This window comes from Homo sapiens, chromosome 18, assembly GCF_000001405.40.
Source record: "Homo sapiens chromosome 18, GRCh38.p14 Primary Assembly".
NCBI classification, from domain to species: domain Eukaryota; kingdom Metazoa; phylum Chordata; class Mammalia; order Primates; family Hominidae; genus Homo; species Homo sapiens.
Window position 1 is genome coordinate 43,925,807 of NC_000018.10, and position 23,010 is coordinate 43,948,816.

The 23,010-nt window shown below is 35.1% G+C and overlaps 1 long non-coding RNA gene across 1 annotated transcript in view; it reads right to left on the reverse strand.

The window, feature by feature from the left end:
- LOC105372088 (uncharacterized) overlaps positions 1 to 7,578 on the reverse strand; it is a 122,698-nt gene extending 115,120 nt beyond the window's left edge. Inside the window, exons 1-2 of the long non-coding RNA XR_935415.3 lie at positions 7,428 to 7,578; positions 3,267 to 3,377 (exon numbers count right to left, since the gene is read on the reverse strand). This is a non-coding gene — a long non-coding RNA (uncharacterized LOC105372088). The remainder of the gene's footprint in view (positions 1 to 3,266; positions 3,378 to 7,427) is intronic.
- Positions 7,579 to 23,010: the final 15,432 nt, after the last annotated feature.

Here is a 23,010-nt window from a genome sequence, read left to right on the forward strand (position 1 = left end):
GCCTGTATGCTGACGTTTTAAGTAAAAAAACATGATTGCTTATTGGTTTTGCTAAATTCCTTTTGTTTCACTCAGGAGAACATTGTTACAGTAACGATATCTCCATGAGCAAAGCTCAGTTGGATAGGCCTGAATGGAATGGATTTGTCATAATTATAGAATTTCAAGTGAATATTTATTCATGTTTTATAAATGTTTCCCCCAAATACACAGACACTGACGTAAAAGCAAGTGATTTAATTCTGTCCTGTAGATCATGAAAACAACTGGTTGAACTTTCTTATTCCACTATTTCCAAAATAGCAGTTTATTAGAAAATATTTAACATTATGTTTTCATTCTAGTTAGAGTGTGGAGAAGTAAGTCAAATAGTGGGTTGAATAAATGAGATTAAAAGTTATGAATGAGAAAAGTCCAAATATTAAATAAGCAGTCTCTAAGGGTTGTAAATGTTAGTAATATTTCCCTTGTCATCATTTCTGCATCTCTGCCTTTTCCTGTCTGGTTCCTCAAGACATCCTCTCCCTCAACACTATGCTACCCAAAGTCACATTATCATAAGACAACTCAATCACATTCAGGTCAAAAGCTTTAAGACTGAGATGTTTGTCTTTCCATGTATCAGTATGAAAGAAACAGAGAGAGAGAGAAAAAAAGATAACTCACATAAGCATATGTCACATACTTCCCTATAGTTATACCTTAGAATGAAGTGGGAATGAGGAACCAGTACTTAAGTAGATATAGTGCTTGAATATGAGGCAAGAGATAAATTCTCTTGTTCTGTTTTCTGGTGTGTAAAATGAGAGATACATCCTATCCTAGTGAAAAGAGCAAACTGCCTCAGCCTCCCGAGTAGCTGGGATTACAGGCGCCTGCCACCATTCCTGGCTAATTTTTTGTATTTTTAGTAGAGACGGGGTTTCACCGTATTAGCCAGGATGGTCTCGATCTCCTGACTTCGTGTGGCAGGCACCTCTCTCTGCTCTTGCTACTTCTCTCTCCATGTGACATGCCTGCTCCCCCTTTGCCTTTCACCAGGAATAAAAGCTCCCTGAGGTATCGTTAGAAGCTGAGCAAATGCCACTGCCATGCTTTCTCTACAGCCTGCAGAACTCTGAGCCAACTAAACCTCTTTTCTTTATCAATTACCGAGTCTCAGGTATTCCTTTATAGTAACGCAAAACAGACTAATACACTGACCAACATGCTGTGGTTTATGTAAAGAACAACTGTAAAATTAGAATAGTTAAGGCCATGTTGACTTGCAAACTATAGTTGCCTGGCAAACTATAGTTATTAGTATTTATTATAATAACTGATTTTATATAGATATATAATATAGATATATAATAACTAACTTTATATAGATATATTATATATCTATTATATCTCTCTATATTAAATCTCTATGTATTATATCTCTATATATCTCTATATATTATATATCTATATAAAGTTTTATGTATATATCATATATAATAGTTATACATATATAACTTACATAACATATATAGCTATATAATAACTTTATATATAACTTCTGTTTAATAACTATTATATATAATAGTTATACATACAGAACTATTATACAAATGTGTAACTATTATATATAATACTTACTATATGTATATTTATATAATAGCTATTATATATAATAGTTATTATGCATATATTTTGTATTTTTGGAAAGAGAGTAGGTATTTAGATTTTTTAAAAAACTTATTACAATGTTTTTTAGTAATAGACAAAGATTTAATGAATAATTAAAGAAATACTGGTATACTTGTCAATAAAAAAGTAAAATATGATTGAAGACTTCTGAAGGGTTATTCTCAACCTCATTCATTTTTCTTTTTCCCACCACATCCTCCATTGTTAAGGTGGCATTTATTATTTTACAAATTTTCTTTGATTCATCATATATATATATTCTACTGTTGTAAATAATTTTAAACTATGTATAAGTTGTTTCAAACTGCAAGTTTGTTTCTGCAACTCGATTTTTCTATTCAACAGAAAAATAGAAAACACTTTTTAAAATTTTATTGCCTAATACTCTATTTTACAAAATTCATCTCAATTTGAATATTGGAGGTCCCCAGAACTTGGCTTTTGTGATAACACATGTAGTACTCCGAAAATATTACAGGAAACTACGTAGTACCAATGTATAAAATGTTGATATTTTAGGTTCTATAATAAATATAATTTGCCTTTTAAATTGTAAAGGCAATAATTAAACTAGCTGTATTCAAACTGAATCTATGATATTATAGACAAGACACTAATCAAGTTTTATTTACCTGGATTTTAGAGATTTCAAAAATTATCTAAACTTCATATTAACACATAATTGTGAAATAAATTCTAAGGTCATATAAATTAGAAAAATAATAATTATATATCAATGTCTTTTAAAATCTTTCTTTTAACTGATCTCTTTAATTATTAATTGATAAATATACTATGTCAAATATAATAGTGAAAACTGAAATCCTAATATCATTGTTCAATAGATTCTTCCAATTCAAACCATTTGATAAAATATATGAACTAGCTTTCATAGCCTGAGCTACTCCTAGGGTATGTGGGGCTCTGGGCAAATATTTTGGTGTGTGTATGGGATTCCTATGTATATACATAATTTGATTTAAAAGGGACTTATAAAATTCATGGGCCCATGTAAGGTATAGTGATTTATTGATTATTATTTATAATAATAAAAAAGAAAGCTGACATTATTCATTATTGACCAGTAAACAACGACTCTTCACAGTGTCCAGGGACCATCTCTATCTGTAATTTATTGTCAAATGCACTGTTCCTAGCTAATTTCATATCTCACTGCAATAAGAGGCAGGGCAGCAATGCTGTTATTAATCACAATGCCATAACTCTGGATGTTTTTGCCTCTGCATTTCTCTGGTACCATTTATTTAATGCTGGTTGCCTCATGGCTCATGATACTGCACCATCCACTGAGCCACCCATGAGCACTGGTTTCTAATGACTGTCTCAAATATTGTGACTGTTCTTTGTCGATAATGACTTCAAATGCAAGTTTTATCCAGGGTATGCAGAAAAATATAAATGATGCACCCCTGTCTTCCACACCTTGCTTCTAGCAGGGAGGAAAGATGAGAAGTCCATGGTCAGAATGAAAGCAGTTACATTTGTGTAAGTAATGTCTATTCCATTTATAACATCTGGGAGAGTACATTAGTACATCAATTAGGGACAACAAAGTGCAAGAATCAAAATACCTGTTCAGATTGGAGTAGAGTTCGCCAAAGCTCTTGGAGAGAAAGGTATGGCCATCCCTGGAGGACTCCCTGAACCAGAACATGACATTAGCAGAAGAGTGGAATGATCACCTATATGTCAGAAGTAGGGGACACACAGTGTAAATAATATCTGCCACAAAAATTGCTGCCTTCGAGGGCTGTAGACTAGATGTGCTATCACAGATTAATGAAAGCTGATACATGGGTCCATACTACATGAAGAGTGGATCACGATAGCTCAGAACCTTGAAATTTTCTTATTATGGAGAGGTTTTATTGCATAACATATATGAGTGACACAAAATCATCTTCTTTACACCATTTTGGTGGATGGATATCACATGATCTTTTAAAGAAAATACTGCACTGGCCATCTGGGAGGTTCCAGACTTTCCTCTTAGAACTGAGACCCGGCCACAGGTCCTGGGATGACTCTATGGATATAAGTTTCTGATAGGGATAAGTTTCTGATAGGGACATCTAGTGGAACCCAAGAATGAGATCTCAAAAAGTCTGAATCTAGGCTTACTGGCCCTGTTCCTATAACACTGTCAGCTCAGGCCACTCCTGGCCATCAAAGTGGGACTTCAAAAATTTAAGGAAGGCATTCCCCATGTATGGGCTCCTAAAACTTGAATCCTGGGATAGGTCTTTTCTTGTCAAGGCCTAATGGCAGTGCTGTTCATAGCAATATGGAGCAGAAAAATCTGCAAGCTGAAGGGGTTTTGTATCAATGAGGGGTAGTAAATTACTGAAAATGAAGACAAAATAAAGATTTTCTTAAACAAATTCTTTAAACTTGAGAAACATTAACTGTGGAACAACAAAAGGAAATCCAAGAAAATGATATATGTTCAAATATTTTAAAAATAGTAATATTTAAAGATCAATAATAATGCTAAATTTAAATCAGCAAACATAATTGTAGTTGCAGGACAAACATTTTTAAAGCATTATAAGATTGCAGAGGTGAAGAGGAATTAATACCACTAGTGTAATCCCTTTCAGGCATAGCAGAAAACCACTGAACACTTTGGTGATGCTAAGGGTATGTTTATAAGTCTGTTTCCCAGTCCAGCTCACATTGTGTTTTATATAACCTTATCAGAAGTGAATTGGTTTTAATAACTGAGTATCCCATCTTGTGTACATTGCTTCAATGTTTATTTTGCTGCTCAAATTCCTACTTTTAGGTATAGAGTCTTAACACTATGGTTTACTTTTTCCTTTTCAAACTTTGCTCTCAGTAAAAAATCTAAAGTCTACGTTTTAAATATGAGTCTGAATTATGCCAACATTTCATAGACATTTACCTGTTCACTGTTGTCTCTACTGGTGGAATTAAAGCGTTTATTTAATGGAACAAGGATTTCATGTGTGAAGAAGCAGGTAAACCAGAGATTGTGGGGGAAGAGACATCTTGTGACTGCTGAAATCATACCATGTAGACAGCCTAACATCCTGCTCAGGGATTTTGTCTACAGATCATTTTGTAAAATAGTTAATAAGATGTTTATAATTGGGCTTTAACAGAGGTTTCCATCGTCTGTCTGTTTCAAGACCTTATTAACACAATAGTAAAACTAATAAAAATGAATAAATCCACAGTATTAAAGAAAACAGAAGAAGCAGAAAAGTAGCCACAATGATAAGAGATTTCAACATAATTTTTGAAAATTAAAAGCAGATGGGGTAGGTGATAATTGATGAAGCAGGGCTGAGAGATCCTTAGGCCTTGTGTGCCAACAGAGCAGGATGTCAATGGTAAGGCAGCCAATGTGCCCTCAAAAACACAGCAGACTGGGGCCTTAGAGCAAGTAAAGGTCTGAACTGAGGCATAGAGCTAAAAAATGTCGGTAAGGTAGTATACACCATGACTACTATTACCACTCCAAACATGGAGGAAAGCAGTAGGAAGACTTTGTCTTATGGGAAATAAACATGAGAAATATTCTCATGTTAAATATTTCCAGGAAAAAAAAAGATATCTGAAGTTTTATATTCAGGAATCTCCAATATAATTGTTGGCTTACTTACTGGTCACTCTTAAGCAAAGACTCCCATCAATACAAACAAAACTGCCAATCTATGTTAGAGGCATTACTTTTAAATATCAATTAATAATCAACTATGTCTGCCCAGTTGAGGAAATTTTCCAATATAAGCAATAGAAGATAAAATAAAAAGAAAACATAGAAATAATGGAAATAAGGCAAGAAGGCAATTATCAATTATATTTTTATCTGACAAATTTATGCCACATATATGTGCCAATTGGATAGATAGATAGATAGATAGATAGATAGATAGATAGATAGATAGATAGATATGTCTGTGTGTGTGTCTGTGTGTATATATATACATTTATGTGTGGGGTGTGCATCAGTGTTCCCCAAAACAATTCCCAGTTTTAATGATTCGCTAGGATAACTCACGGGACTCTGAATACAGTCTTCCTCATGGTTATGACTTATTAGAGTGAAAGGATACACAACAAAATCAGCAAGGGAAAGTACACAAAGTCCGGATGAAACCAGATGCAGGCTTGCAAGAGACTCTCCCAGTGGAATCATACAGGATGTACTTAATTCCCCAACCAATAAGTTGTAAAAGCATGTAATAAATGCTACTCATCATTTCTGGGTATGGTGGGGGCCTTTCTGAAATCCAGTTTCCTGGATTCCAGTCAAGGGCCAATCTGGAAAAAAAGAGCTTTCTAAACCTAGCAGTCTGTTACATTAACACTTTTCTACAAAACATATAGAAAATTAAAAAAAATAAATTTTCAAAGAAAAAAATTAAAAAATTCTTAAAGCACATTCATTTATTCCACAAATATTGGCTGAAGGCTTCTAGGCTTACCACTATCTTAGGCATGTGGAATAAAAGACCATTGACATCATGGTTATTACATTTTAGTACAGTCAAGAAATGAATAAAATAAACTACTGAATTGTCTAAAATATGAGAAGATGAAAGTGCTATGAAAAAAATGTAAAGCAAGGCACAGAAAAGCTGAGGTGTATAAGAGAAGTTTATAGCATTAAATAAAGTAGTTAGAATTAACCTCCCTGAGAAGGTGAAATTTGATTAAAGGCTTAAATTTTAACAAAGTTGAAGACAAAGATTAAACACTGGATTTAGAACCATGGAGAATCCTGATGACCTCATGGGAGCATTTTCAGAGGAGTGTAGGAGGCAAAAACTTCACTGAATTTAAAAGAGAGTCTAGTTTCAGTTCTGGTTAAGATAGAGTAAGCACAGATACCCTGTTTATCCCACTGAATGTAGCTAGGAAACCTGGTAATGCACAAAGCAGCCAATCTGCTCTTACTGCTGAAAAGTAAATAGTAGCAGGCAGGTTGGTGTTCCAGTAGTGAGTTTACTTTTTTCCTTCATTATCCTCCAGCCTACACTCAGTACATAATAAATATGTTTTGATTGAGTAAATGAATGAATGATTGAAATAAATAACTACCACTTATGATTATATAACCAATGTGCCATTAATGTTTTTGTTTAAATTTCTTCCATTAAAAGATGATTTTTCTCTTCTATTTTTCATATTAAAATCAATTCATGTATTGAAAATATCTGTCTTGTAAATACCAGAATGAAGTTCAAAATATCCACATTCATTCTTTCAGGCATTTTCCGTCATGTATCATGAGTTCTACCAAAGTTCACAGCCTCTGAAACTTTTTTTTTTTTTTGAGACAGAGCCTGGCTCTGTCACCCAGGTGGGAGTGCAGTGACACAGTCTTGACTCACTGCAACCTCCCCTCCCAGTTTCAAGTGATTCTCCTGCCTCAGCCTCCCCCGTAACTGGGATTACAGGCGCAAGCCACCGTGCCTGGCTAATTTTGTATTTTTAGTAAAGATGGGGTTTCACCATGTTGGCCAGGCTGGTCTTGAATTCCTGACCTCAAATGATCCACCCACCTCGGCCTCCCAAAGTGCTGGGATTACAGGCATGCACCATCGTGGGCCCTCTGAACCTTTTAATAGGAATTATTTTAATTTTAATTTGCTTTCATTTCATCCACTTATTTTTTCTTTGTATTAAATTCGTTCCACACTGCTATAACGAACTACTTGAGACTGGGTAATTTATGAAGAAAAGAGCTTTAATCGACTCACAGTTCTGCAGGCTATACAGGAAGCGTGGCTCCGAGGCCTCATGAAACTTACAATAATGACAGAAGGGCAAAGGAGAAGCCAGCACATCTTGACTTGGAAGCAGGAGAGAGAGAAAGCACACAAAGGCAGAAGAGCTACACACTTTCAAACTACCAGATCTTGTGAGAACTCTATCACAAGACAGCACTAGGGGGATGGTGCCAAATCATTAGAAACCACCCCCATGATTCAATCACTTTGCTCCAGGCTCCACCTTCAACACTCAAGATCACAATTCAACGTGAGATTTGGGTGGGAACACAGAGCCAAACCATATGATTATTTTATTCCTTTCTATCTCTAATTTCAATGAAAATGTTGTAGTTTCTCTCAAATCACAGTCTTTTCAACAGGACATGAAAGAAAAGCAAAAGCAGATAAAAGTCAGTTTGAAAGAGAGAGAAATCTGTTCTCATCTTCTTTTTTTCGCGTCCTTGTGAGGCATTAATAGGAGGGAAACTCTCAAAGCTGAAGAGTTGCTATCTCCTTAAACCCCAGTGCAGAAGTCACAACACAACAGAAATCCTCTTCAGGGGAACATAAATCCGGGTTCTCTATTTCATGTGGCACCTAATAAATGGAATATACTACATATATATTGTTTCTAACTCCTCCAATAACTCTGATGAGTAATTTTTCACAGTTTATAGATGAAGAACTAAAACTCAGAGGGATTAAGTAATTCATCTAGAGTCATGCACCTAGAAAGTAACAGAGCTAAAATTTGAATCCAGACCTTTTTGATTATTCAATTATTTCATTCTGACTAATCATCTACAATATTCAAGCAATATCACTGTCATTGTTTTTCCCTCAAGATTCTCTGAAATGGTATGCCAGAAGATAAAAACTGGGGATACTTCAATTTTATTGAATGTTTTACTGTGCCATACTGTGGTTTCCCTAGCCCAGGACAATGCCTTTTCAATAGGGAGGTTAAGAGAGACAGTAGTGTCTCTCTATGATGTCACAACACCAGGAAAGAGCAGAAATAGTGTAAAATGAGAAACAAATAAACAAACAAACTATTGTATGCCTATTATGTATACTTTACATTCATTATTGACTTGATATCAAGAAAATTGTGATGTGGTTATTTTAATTTATTGCTAGGGAAACAGCTTATCAAAGTGAGTAAATACATCTTTATTTATGTCAAAATATTCCCAAATCTAGCCAAGACAAAATCCAGGCTAATCCCTGTGTAAGATGAGAACAGGGCATGGACTTACTTATTTTCCTTTTGTTTATGGTTCAACTCCTGTGCTAAATGTTAAATTTTCAAGTATGGCTGATGCCTTGGTCACAGGTTATCACAACATCACTGTTTTAGTGGTTTTAACTTTCATTTGTGAAAATCAGTACTTCGAATAATCAAGCATAGTTTCATTATAAATAACTTTCTATGGCCTATAATCAATAAATAATATTTTAGCTACAGAAACAAATAGCTTTCAATAATAAAGTATAAATATGAATATAACTGATGACTTTCCTAATTGTTCTTCCCTGCTGATATATTAACTGATGTTGTAGCTAGAGACAGAATATCTATTCATGATGCTTATCCAGTCGTCTGTATTTGATTAATGTACTCGAATCGTGCCAGATATTTTCGGTCTTACAGACAGCTCTGCCACATCTATCTAAATGTAATCACTTATCTATTTGTAAAAAGTTTAGATGACTTGTAAAAACTTTATTGTCTACATAAGCCAAAGAATTTTTGTGTTAGTTATGCAAAGCCATTAAATAATTGCATCATTTCTAGTATATTCCAAATCAAACCATACTGAAAAACCTCTGCCATATGCCTGTTTTCACAGGGCAAGGTTTTTAGTTAGTTTTTTTTCTTTTTAAACATCTGTGTTTGTTTATTGGAAGTATAAATATTTAAAGACAGGAGAAGAAACCTCAAACTATAAGTGAAATCAGCTTTCTCAGCCCCCTGTTGCTTGAAATAAACCTCATGGAACTTTTTAGTGTGAACATGTAAGAACACTGGGCTGAAGTCAACAAAAGAATGAGTAATCTTTTGAGTGTGTTGTTTATTTCAAAAGTTAATGAAGAAGCAGTTCTCTTCAGAAGGAAATAATATTAAGGTTTTATTGGGTAACTAATGTTCTATGGTCCATGCTGTTAACTTTAAACTCTGCCCTAGTGTTTTTTAACCAGAGTTTCCAGGAACAAGCTTCATACTTTTCAAAAGTAAATAAATCATAAAAACTATTTAAAAACATTTCTGAAATAAGTTTTTGGTTAATTTGTTATAAACAAGGATTTCTTCAAAATTATTTGGTACCAAATTATCACTTATGTTTTTCTTCATATTTGTACTGTTTTTCCATTCTAATGATTATTGTTTCATCATATTAATTGGTGAATTCATAGCAAGATTTGGGTGGGAATTTCAATAAATCTTGTTTTGTAGGGCTGCCAGCTAAGTTTTGTGACTTTGAACAAATAACTGCATTCTAACTAGATGGGGAATAATACTGTTGAAAGTGGTGCTTTCTCTGTGATAAGTCCATGTGTAAGTGGTATTGTGTGTGTGTGTGTGTGTGTGTGTGTGTGTGTGTGTGTGTGCGTGCAGTGGCATACACAGGTTAGCCAGATAATTTGAATGTGCAGATCAGACTTTTTGATACTCTATGTCTTATTTATCTTGCTTACTTTAAATCAGAATCTTTATATGCCAAAATAGACAGAATAAAGATTTAGCATTTTTCTAGTATATATAATGATGTTGATGGATGTCATAGATGTTTCAAATCTGCAGAGGAAAATCAACTACAGTTAACAAAGGGGAGAAAAAAAGTTTCTTTCAGGCAGAAGATATCAAAACAAAGCATTTTCTGCCTTTGGTACTTAGAGGAGACTTTGTCTTACTCCGTACCATCTTCGATGTACTTATTTGTTACGAATTTGCATTTTGTACTTATGTTCATATACTTTAAGAAGGTAATTCAACCTTAATATTTTCTATTTGAGAAAATGGGGCTTGAAATTTTCAATATTTGTCTGTGCAAAGCCATGAAGGGGATTAGTGGCTAAGTTGTCTATATTGGGCACATGTTTTTATTTACTTGTTCTTTTGATCATCAAACGAGTGTACTCAGGTGATGCAATAATCTGTACAAAGAAAACTCACGACACAAGTTTACCTATATAAACAAACCTGCACATGTACCCTTGAACTTAAAAGTTAAAAAAAAAAAAGTTTGTAATGTTAATAGACATATAGAAGAAAGCATCTCTAAATTAATGGTTGAATCTGAAGTTGTTTGAAAATTACACGTGTTTATTTTCATACACAAAATAACAATTAAAATGTTAAGTAGGCCAAGGTAGCTGGCACCAGAAGACAAACTTGAATTTCAAATCTATCCCTCACTGACAAAGTGATTTAGGGTAAGTTACTTCTGCTGTCTGTGCCTCTGTTGCCACCTATGTAAACGGAAGTGTTTGCAGGGGTTAATTTGTAGGTTTCCCTCCATATCTACAGGTTTATGCTATATATTTAAATTGTGTGTTTGCTAGAATTATGCTTGCTGGCTTTCTCTGTCAAACCGCATTAGTACATGTGAAGCTGGTATCTGCAAAAGCAGCGTCAGCAGCAGTTGATCTGTCCCATTACAGTTATAATTAATGTTGCATCTGTGATTCCCCTAAGTCCCATGACCAAGATGTGCTCGGTCACTAATTGGTCCACTTTAGATCTGATGAACATTTACAGTGATATTTCTATATCATCCATCCTGAAGGACTTCAAAGATGTAGATTTCCTCAAAGAAAAATTTTGACCGTAACTGCATTATATCCATGATACGCTTTACAAATTTACTTGAATATATATATATATATTCATTGAAGCTGAATGATTTCTTAGGTCACATATTATATATGAAAATGTATAAAAAGAAACCCGACTTTTATTATGGTAAACATTTGGGTGAATTACCACACAAACTCAGGGTCTGGGATGCATCACCTATCACCTTTCTAAGAGGTTCTTTTTAGTAATCGGGATTCATCGTTTTAATAGAATGGCCACAGTGAAAAGCAATCACTTTTGTTAAGCTATTTCAAATATATTCAAATCAGAATTAGACTCATTGCTTTAACACTTGTGTTATACTCCAAACTGATACCAAATCACTACTGAAACACTACAAAGGGTACAACGTCTCTGTGCCCTAGAAATCTTGTCTATTACATGGGCATGTGAAACCTGACGTACTTACCTAAAAATTTTGGTGAGGATTAAATAACAATATTAATACTCTTAGGGAAATTTTGAAGTGGCACATGATGGCACGTGACTATCCTTAAGAAACAACTTGTTCTTTGGGAGGCCGAGGCAGACGGATCACCTGAGGTCAGGAGTTCAAGACCAGCCTGGCCAACATGGCGACACCCCCGTCTCCACTAAAAATACAAAAATTAGCCGGGCGTGGTAGCAGGTGCCTGTAATCCCAGCTACTTGGGAGGCTGAGGCAGGAGAATAGCTTGAACCCAGGAGGTGGAGGTTGCAGTGAGCCAAGATCTCGCCATTGCACTCCAGCCTGGGTGACAAGAGCGAAACTCCGTCTCAAAAGAAAAAAAAAAAAAGAACCAACTTGTTAAACTCCCTTCTTTCATTTTGGGAATTAGTCTTTCCTCTTTCAGCAATTTTCATTATTCTTTGGGGGTAAAAGCTGAATAAAATCTAGGGCCCTATGTATTACTACAACAACATAACTGGCAATATGTCTATTAGCATGTTTTGAGGTGGAGGTGAAACCCCGTCTCTACTAAAAATACAAAAAAAAATTAGCCGGGCGCGGTGGCGGGCGCCTGTAGTCCCAGCTACTCGGGAGGCTGAGGCAGGAGAATGGCGTGAACCCGGGAAGCGGAGCTTGCAGTGAGCCGAGATTGCGCCACTGCAGTCCGCAGTCCGGCCTGGGCGACAAGGCGAGACTCCGTCTCAAAAAAAAAAAAAAAAAAAAAAAAAAAAACTGATTTTCACAATAACAACAAAACAAAAAAACACAAACAAAACTTTTGCAAACTGTACAATTTTTCGTTGCAGAAAGCCAAATCCAGGCTGACTTATATATTTTTGAGGTAAATATAGGCATCTGGGCAACTTCCTATTAATTCTAGGCCTTTTTATTTACATGAATGGAAGAAGAGTCTTTTCCCTTTGCAATGATTTTGCTCTGCTGTGGAACGTTTATTTCTCTCCATCCATAGTCCTATCACCCAAACTATTTGCTAATAATTGCAGCTACAGGCTCAGATTTGTTTAATTCTTCATTTTCCAAATCATTAAAAATAGGTTCCTTTCCTGAAGGTTTTCCAACAAACAGAAACTCAGTTCTCTTTAATTAAATCCAGTGGCTTGAAACACCAAAGAGAAGAAGTAAACTCAGGGGATTCCAACGGAAGGGACTGCTTAGATCAAAGGAAGTGTTCATGTGGTACCAAGTTCAGAATGTGAATTAGAAACATCCCTGGAGAAAACAAAAAGTGTAGTGTCCCACAGACTTTCATGCTAAATTTGGCTACACCATTTATTAGATACATGACTTAGTGCAAGTCATGCTTCACCTCTCTAAGCCAAAACGTTCTCGCCTATAATATAATGATAGTACACAACTTCTGGGTTGTTCTTAAAATTAAATAATATGTGGGATGAGAAAACAGCTAACCTTTGGTCAGTGTTTATCATATGCTCCACCTTCTTCTAGGCTCTTAAATATGCCTCTCAATCCTTACATAAGCCCTTGAAATACATGTTACTGTATGTATTTTGCAAATGAAGATGGTAAAATATAAGAAAGTTGAAAATAATTATCACATGTCCAAGGCTACATAGCTAATAACTGGAACTGAAAACCACAATCTAAATAGGAATCTGCTATACTCCAAAATGCATGCTTGTCACTTGAACCCGTGATTTCTTGCGTGTTAATAGTATTTCCAATAAATGTTACTCTTATTTATTTAGACATTGTTAGAATAAACTAGACAGAAAAGAGCTTCAGAAAGTCCCACCTCTGCCAACAAGTATAAATACATCAAAGCAAGAGTACCTAGATCATACATCAATTTCTTAAGACATTACATTACATTGAAGTGAAAGTAAAAAAAATGACTTTGAGGTCAACACTTCTGATTTCACACCCAGATTCCCCGTTGGTATGTGTCTGTTTGCACAAGTTATTTAAATTTTCTGAGTCTCAGTTTTCTCATCTGTATAATGGGAATTCTACAAGCTTTATCACAGATTTGTCGTAAAAATTAAGTGATACTAGTTGGGTCAAGAAGGCAGGCTAAGCTGATATTTCTATTTCACCTGCCATCTAAATTCCCATCAAATGGCAAAATAAACACATTTTACATAACGAAAGAGTAGCAAGGGAAGAAAAAAGAGTACCATCAGAAAATCACACATTTTAAGGAATTCCTGAAAATCAGACGGCAGACTGCGTTAGCTATACAGAGATATAAGACATAAGAAAATATAATTTCTCCAAAATCATGCAAAAGACTACTGGGGATAAGACAAAGAAATCGGCCAGGTGCAGTGGCTCATGCCTGTAATCCCAGCACTTTGGGAGGTGGAGGCAGGTGGATCACAAGGTCAGAAGTTCGAGACCAGCCTGGCTAACATAGTGAAACCCTATCTCTACTAAAAATACAAAAAATAAAAAAATTAGCCAGGCATGGTGGTGGGCGCCTGTAGTCCCAGCTACTTGGGAGGCTGAGGCAGGAGAATTGCTTGAACCAGGGAGGTGGAGGTTGCAGTAAGCCGAGATTGCGCCACTGCACTCCAGCCTGGGTGACAGAGAGTGAGACTCCATCTCAAAAAAAAAAAAAGGAATCTTGGAGAAACAAGAAGGATTGTAATTATGAACAAGAAATGTACATAAGAAGAAATATAAATGGCCAATCATGTATAAAAAAGTATGTTTACATTCTCTAATAGAAAACTGTTAATTAATATTAATATTATTTTGTAACTATCTGTATTAATTTTCTGTGGCTGCCATAAAAACTTACCAAAAACTCAGTGGCTTAAAATAATACATTGATTATCTCACAGTTATACAAGTTAGAAGTAGAACTAGTCCTACTGGGCTGACACAGTCCCACTGGGCTAAAATCAAGCTGTTAGCAGGGCTGTGTTCCCTTCTGGAGGTTCTAGGGGAGAATCTGTTTTCTTGCCTTTTTCAGCTTCTAGAGGCTGCCTGCTGTGCTTCTGTGATTCAACTTAGATTTTTCTAGGTTGTTTCCCCTCTGAGGACCCAGTAGGTGGAGTGTTTTGGAATAGGTGGGCCATAAAATACATCTCAGCATACTACAACTACTTATGAGATTGTCTCAAGGACTTAATATAACATTCATCATTTTAGATATTTACTTCATGTTCTATGGAAAATGGTGTCTTAATATGTTTTCTGAGTTTTTGTGACCGATTTGATCTAACTTTTAATGCACATTGAATGCACTCTTGAATTTCCTCCTTAGAACAAAATACCCACAGATATTTCTCAGTTTATCTTTCCAAATGAATAATTAAGAAGACTGAGTAAGGTGAGTAAACTTAACCAAACCAAATGTATGATGAATGCAGAGAAAGATAAAACACAATATTTTTTTACTCCTTCTCCTATGTCCTTTCTGTTATTCAATTTTATAGGCTTAGGCTCAAAATACTACCTTTACTCAGTCAAATAAATTTTTGTCATCTTTTTTCCAATATAATTGACTGATCAACTCACATTCCATTAGCTTCTTAATTTTTTTTATTATTATGAATTTGGTTAACATTAGAGCACATATATGTAATAATGTGAAAATCAATCTTAGTAGAGAAAATCATGTTTCACTCTTCTCTATTTTAATAATAATTTTTAATTGATAAAGACAAGTATATACTGGTCAATCTGCTTAATTTTGATATAAAAGTAAGAATTTCAAATAAATTGAAGTGGATTGCTTCTCAGCTTGATGAGAAAATTATCATGAAACTTACCCTTTACTAATAAAAATTATCACCTGAAGGAAGAAATTAAGTTGTTTTACAATGACACAAAGTGTGTGTGTATACACACACACTAAAATTTGAGCTACAAAAGTGTGTCTTGCCAACATAATGGCAAACTTCTAGATTCTTTCCAGATTTGAGTAGACGAGAGGATCGCACATATCATATAAATAATAGGATTCTAACATTTAAAATATTTATATTGTATAAAGACCTAAAAGATATTAATAGTAATTCCAATCATTGATTACTCAATGGACAACTGAAAACCTAAAATATAAATTAAAAACACTAAGTGCTTTCTGAGAAGGAATCTATGAGTACGTTCAAGAAAAGAAAAAAGAAAAAAAAAAGTCTGATAGGAGGCTGAAAGGACAAAGCAAAACACAAGACTATCAAAGGCCGAGGGATAGGCAAAGAGAAATTTGATTACATCAGCCAGTGAAAGAAATCCTATAGGAAACATCAGACAGTATTTCAGCCTTGTTTAATTCAGTTGAGGTGTAGTTTAGAAAGGAGTAAGGACTACAAGGTCTATAGATTGGAGGAACCAAGATCTGAGCCACTTACAGTAAAGAGAAAATATGGTGCTCAGTTGAAGTTGCTACAAGAAGATTTCTAAGTGGCTACCAGATATTGATGTCTAGTGTATGTTAATGAGAGCATTAAAAAATAAATTAATTTTGTATCTTAGTGACTATGAAGACTCATGTGCCTTTTTAGGACACAGAAGCCAACAAATGCAAAAGAATCACTAGAAATTTAGCAAGACTGAACAAAGAAGCAAAGCCACTCAATGGAGATTATTTTGACAAACTAGCAATGGAACAAAGGGGCCACAATTGCCGGTTTGTTCAAAGGGTTACATAGATCAAGTAGTTGTCATTGTCTAGATGCAGTCTAACCACTAAATGATTAATATCAGTGTAATATTTTATTTCCTACTAATTAAACTTCTTAATATAATTGGTTGTAAGAATGCTCATCTAATATCTCAGCCACTGCCAGAAAGTGCAGAGGGAAAAGGAAATAAGCCTTCTGGCAAAAGTCCATGAGACTAATTATCCAAGGAAATTCATGTCACAAATGCAACTAATTGAGGTGTTATCTGCATAGGTAAAAACAAAGCTCTTAATTGGCCTTTGTTCAATTTTCATTCAAAAGTTACTGAACACAAGGTTGTGTATTTGAGGTTGTTTAGTTTTAAGAATATTTTATTTAAGGTTAGGGCAAGAATGCACACAAAAGATATCAGCAGGAAAGGAGCACTGATTCCCATAAAATATTGGCCTGTAGAAGTGTTTAAGTGCTAAATCCTCCTTTCAACTACCCCCAAAAGGTAGACTTTCTTTTCTTTGAGGTTGTGGTCCTGTGGCTATGACACCATTAGCCATAGTTGCCAAATGGTCTTCCTATGCCTTATGAGCCCTTCATCATAGCAGACCAGGAATTTCAACAGATGCTGGCTTCTCTTAACTCTTTCTCTGTAGAAGAGACATATATTTAAAAAGAGTATTTATTTCCCCATTTTTCAAAGAACACAAAGTTATTAAAACAACATGGAACTGGGCGCAGTGGCTCATGCCTGTAATCCCAGCACTTTGTGAGCTTGAGGTGGGCGGATCACTTGAGGTAAGGAGCTCAAGACCAGCCTAGCCAACATGGTGAAACCCCATCTCTACTAAAAATACAAAAATCAGCCAGGCGTGGTGGCACACACCTGTAATCCCATGTACTTGGGATGCTGAGGCAGGACAATCACTTGAACCCAGAAGGCAGAGGTTGCAGTGAGCCAAGATCGTACCACTGCACCCCAGCCTGGGTGACAGAGTTAGACTCTGTCTCAAAAAATACAAATAAATAAATAAATAAAATAAATAAATACAAATAAAATAAAACAACGTGGAACTATTAAAGATAGAATAAGTATGTTCAGCACTGACACCACAGAGAGGGTTGTGTTTTGCCCATCCATTTTGCACTTGTATTTACACAATTTCCTTTTCTTTGATGGCCTGGTGAGGGCCCTCCCACATTAGAGCTTTCTGTAATTATGATCTAATACATAACTGATATTTGTTAGCTACTTATCATATGCTAGGTACTCTAAAATGTGTGATCTTATTTAATCATTAGAAGAAACTTTGTAATATATTATCCCATTTTTGTAAGTGAAGAAACTAAAGCTGAAAGATAAATAGCTTCCTAAAAAATCACAGAACTATTAAGGGGCAGATAGTACCCTCAAATTCAGGTTTTAGGACCCAAAATCTGAAAGGGATGCTTTGTTATAGAAAACATCAGGTGCACAGACCTGATGAAAATATCCATGAAAGAAAAAAGAATATTAGAAATGTATATGCTACAGTGGACAGAGATGTACTAAGCTTGATGAATTATAAACGAATATTAGTACTTAAGTCCTGTCTGTAGAAGGTCGACTAAAGAGGGTTTTGTAAAGGAGTAAAGGAATCTTTCTTTTTTTTTTTTTTTTTTTTTTTGAGATAGAGTCTTGTTCTGTCACCCAGGCTGGAGTGCAGTGGTGCAATCTTGGCTCACTGCAACCTCTGCCTCCCGGGTTCAAGCGATTCTCCAGCCTCAGCCTCCCAAGTAGCTGGGATTACAGGCATGTGCCATCACGCCCAGCTAATTTTTGTATTTTTTAGTAGAGACAGGGTTTCACTATGTTGGCCAGGCTGGCCTTGAACTCCTGACCTTGTGATCCACTCGCCTTGGCCTCCCAAAGTGCTGGGATTACAGGCATGAGCCACCGTGCCCAGCAGGAATCTTAATATTCACTGAAAATTAGATAACTTTTCCCCTAGTAAATTATCTATCCTACTTTCTTGATTTTTCACTTCTATTATTTCCAATGGGAAGTCTGCTGTCATTATCTGTTCCTCTCTGAATATGTGTTTTTCCCCTCTCTGACTACTTTTAAGGTATTTTTCTTTATCATTGTTTTAAGCAATTTGATTAGGATGTGCCTTGGTATAGATTTTTTCCACTTTTTTGTGCTCTGGTTTTGTTGAGCTTCTGGACTTTGTAGGTTTAGACTACTTATTAAATTTTAAAACTATTGCCTTATTTCCTAATTTTTTTCTTTTATTTTTACAGCCTTCTTTGGAAACTTCATTTATACATATATTAGGCTGCTTGATGCTATATTACTGCTCACTAATACTTTGGGGTTTCCTTGGTTGTCACTCGAGGTTTTATTGTTGTTTTGCAGTTTCTATTGCTATGCCTTCAAGTTTGATTTTTTCTTCAAACTCTAATTCGTTGTGTTTTTTTAACTTAGACAAGTAGTTTTCCTCTTTAGAAATCAATTTGTATCTTTATTTCTTCTCTCCACTTTTTTAATATGCTTAATCTTTTCTTTCTTAAACATGTGGAATGCAGCTTATGATAACTATTTTTAAACGCTTGTCTACTAATTCTATTATCTAAATTATTTATAAACTTATTTCCATTGATTGATTTTTCATCTTTCTTCATGCTGATGATTTATGAATGGATGTCGTGCATTGTGACTTTCATTTTTTTGTGTTCTGGATTTTTTGACATTACTATAAATATTCTTGAGCATTGATCTAAGGTGCAATTATGTTATTTAGAAATGTTTTGATCTTCATAATGCTTCCTTTTGTGCTTTGTGAGGCTGATTCAGGACAATGTTTCTTCAGGACTCATTTTGTTCCACTATTAAGTCCACACTATTCTGAGTACTCTATCCAATATTTGATGAATTATGAAGTTTTTCTACTCTGTCTTGTGAAAACACAAACCATTACTGGTCTTATGAAAATGCCAAAGATTGTTCTTTTTGCTCCTTTTGGGTGCTTCCCACACTCTTGGGCCTAAAGTAGTTTGCATACACAAATACACTGATCAATACTCAGTTGGAAACTTGAGGAGACCCTCTTCAAATCTCTAGAATCCCTCTATGTGTGGCTGTCTTCTGTCTGGCACTCTGCACTGTGAACTCAGTTTACCTTAACCCTTCTGGATTTCTGTCTCCTCAACACAGGGAAACTTAGATTCCTCTTAGATACCTCCTGTATGTGCTTAATCCTGGAACGACCCCTATACAGTAAGTTGGAGCAACATAAGACTCACCTCATTGGTTCACTTTTCTCAGAAATCTCTGTCCTGTACTACAGAAGGTTCAATATTTAAAAATCACTGCTTATATATATTTTTGTACTGTTTGTTAATTTTATCATTGAGTGAATAAATCTAGTTCCTATTGCTTGTGAAAGCTCCTGAATATATTAATTTTAGGGTGCCTTTTAGTCATCCAAGTGAAGATGCCAGTAAGCATTTGGATATTTGACTCGGGAGTCTAAGGGAGTCATCTACTTGATAATATCAATAGTGAGTATAAATATAAGTACAAAAACAGAGTCTTAGGCCACTCTGAAATTTAGAGTTCAGGAAAATGAAAAGAAACTTTAAGAGATAAAGAGAAAGAAGCCAGGAAGTAACAGGGAAACTAGGCCCATAGAGGGTCCTTTGAGTCAAGTGGAATAAGTTTTTTAGGGAGAACAAAGTATGAAAATGACTGGCCAGGTGCTGTGGCTCACGCCTGTAATCCCAGCGCTTTGGGAGGGCAAGGCAGGTGGATCTTGAGGTCAGGAGTTGGAGACCAGCCTGACCAACGTGGTGAAACCCCGTCTCTACTAAAAATACAAAAAATTAGCCTGGCGTGGTGGCACGTGCCTATAATCCCAGCTATTTGGAAGGCTGAGGTAGGAGAATCGCTTGAACCTGGGAGGTGGAGGTTTCAGTGAGCCGAGATCGCTCCATTGCACTCCAGCCTGGGCAACAGAGCGACACTCCATCTCAAAAAAAAAAAAAAAAAAAAAAAGAAAAGAAAAAGAAAATGACCAAAAAATTACTATTGGATCTAGCAACATACATGTAATTGGTAATGTTAAGCATAGTTTTTGTAGGGTATTAGGAGCTGGGGGGAAGTCTCATCAGAGTGGATCCAAGTTACATGAAAGAGAACCATTATACACAACTCTTTTAAGAACTTTGAGGTATACACACTCTTTTAAGAAGTTTGAGGTAAAGAGAAAGAAAGACAAAAAGAAATAAAGAGGGAAGGTGAGACGAATACAGTTTTTTTTTAAGATGGGAAAAACAATGGCTTGTTTGTATAGTGATGAGAATGATTCACTAAAGAGGGAAAATTTACTGTTTCTGGAGAGGTTGGAGATGGGAGAATTATTGAAGCAATGTCTTTAGTAGGTCAGAAGGGATGAGATCTAACACCAACAAAGAGGTGGCCCTAGGTGAGATCATGGATAGTCCATCCATAATGCTAATAGAGCATACTGAATACTGCAGTAGATGGGATAAGTAGATGAGGTAGGATTTTCTGGAAATTTCTCTGATTGCTTGAATTATCTCAGTGAAATACAGTTATCAGATTTGATTGGCAATAGTGGAAGAGATGTTAGAAATTTGGAAGATGAACTTTTATGAAGTATCTAGCCAGAGGAATGGGAGACAGGGGGATTCAGAAATAACAGTTTGATTATTGCGCTCAGATTATGTCCCATTTGAGTTTAGTGATCATGAATTTTGAGTGAGACCAGTCACCTGGCTGTCTCTTCTCCCATTTAGCTATGCAGATATCTATTCAGAGCACTTGGAGAATTGTATTCAAAGCTTTGTCAAGCTAGTATAATGAAGTAAGAAAGTGCCAAGAGAGTTGAACAAGTAGCAAAATAATGTTTGTAAAGATTGACCTTGGAGTTAAAGCTAGATAAGGAGGTATGTAAGAACAAGAGAAAAATAGGATAAAAATTATAACAGAGTTGGATAAACATAGTCCAGGCATTCTTCTATGTGTTTCACATATATTAACTTTCACTTAGTAGAAGGGTCAGTGGATGGAAAACAATGGCCTAGTCACAAGATTTTTGGAGTTGGTTTACTAAAGACAGTGAGTTGAGAAAAGAAAAGGAGCCTGCCTAATTAGCCTCTTGGAGAGTGGTTCTCAAACTTTAACATTAGAATCACCTGCGAGACTTTATAAAACTCAGATTTCTAGATTGCCCTACTACAGAGTTTCTGATTCAATAGACCTAATAAGTTTCTAGGTGATGTTTCATGATGCTGGTTACAGTTTAAGAACCACTGTTGTATATCTATGAGAACTCTATACTCTAGTTTACTCCCAGTTGAGAAGGCAAGAGAAAATTTAATTTACATTGGAATGTGAATGATTGAAAACAACACAAACTGTTAGTTTTATAGAAATTAACTTACAAATATACATATGAGAATATATGTATGTGCATGTTACTGCCATAATTCTACTATAAAAAAATGAAGTTTGAGTTATTAAATTTAATGTACTCTAAGTAACGAAATTTTAAGCCTGGTACCAACCTTTGATCAAAAAAATCTTCTCCCTGTGGAAGTGAATTTAAGAAAACAATCCTTCTACCATAACAATCTATTTCAGCTGTTCATTGGTACCTGTTTTTTCACTATATGGATTAATACGTTCACCTTAATTTTTTAAAATTTATCTCTAAACAAGAATTGGGATATTTTTGCCAGTCATTGAAAATTTGTTTAAAATGAGTAGTCTGGGAAAAAGACTTACTAAATATTAATTAAATGAATTAATAAAATAGAGGATGGTATGGTGAATCTAACTGGATGAAAGAGGAGACATGGAGAAACAAAACAGGAATTTCTAGAAAAGGGCAATAGTACATCCTCGGAAATTTGAGTCACTTGCTCATAATTCTATTGATGGAGCTACATGACTGATATGCCATGTATATTCTATTCAGTTCCATCAAATAAGGTATATGGTATAGGGTTAGGCATGTAACAGGACATTCATTATTAATTATGGAAAATCCTTGTATCCAATTGAACTAATTAAGAGCGGCAAACTATGGACCCTGGGCCAAATATGGCAACAATAAGAATGTTATTAAGGTTAATTGGAACACAGCCATGACCATTATTTTACATTTTGTCTATGGCTGTGTTCATTCTACAACCACAAGGTTTGGTAGTTGAAACAGAGATAAGAATATGTCCTGCAAAGCTGAAAATATTTACTGTCACTTTACAGAAAAAGTTTGCTGTCCCACTGGAAGAGATTCTGGACAGCATAAAGTAGGTATTTTGGATTCCTGTCTTTTTATCCATATCAAAAAAAAATCACTCTATTCTAATGTTTAAATCAATCTAAAGTCCAATAAAGCCAGGAAAAACACGAAATAAAAACACATCTCATCTACCTTTGCATACAACTACATCTCAAAATCAAGTTGATACAACCTCTTAGAGCATATATTCTAGATGATATGTATATATTACTTTTCTTCCACTCTGCATACCCAAATTTTTATTTTAGTTAACATATTACAATTTCTTATAACCTACCTATAAAGGAGAGATTTATTCTTTAAATATAGCAATGAAACTTTTTATTTTCTCATCTGTTTAACTCAGTCTCTTCCTCATTGAATA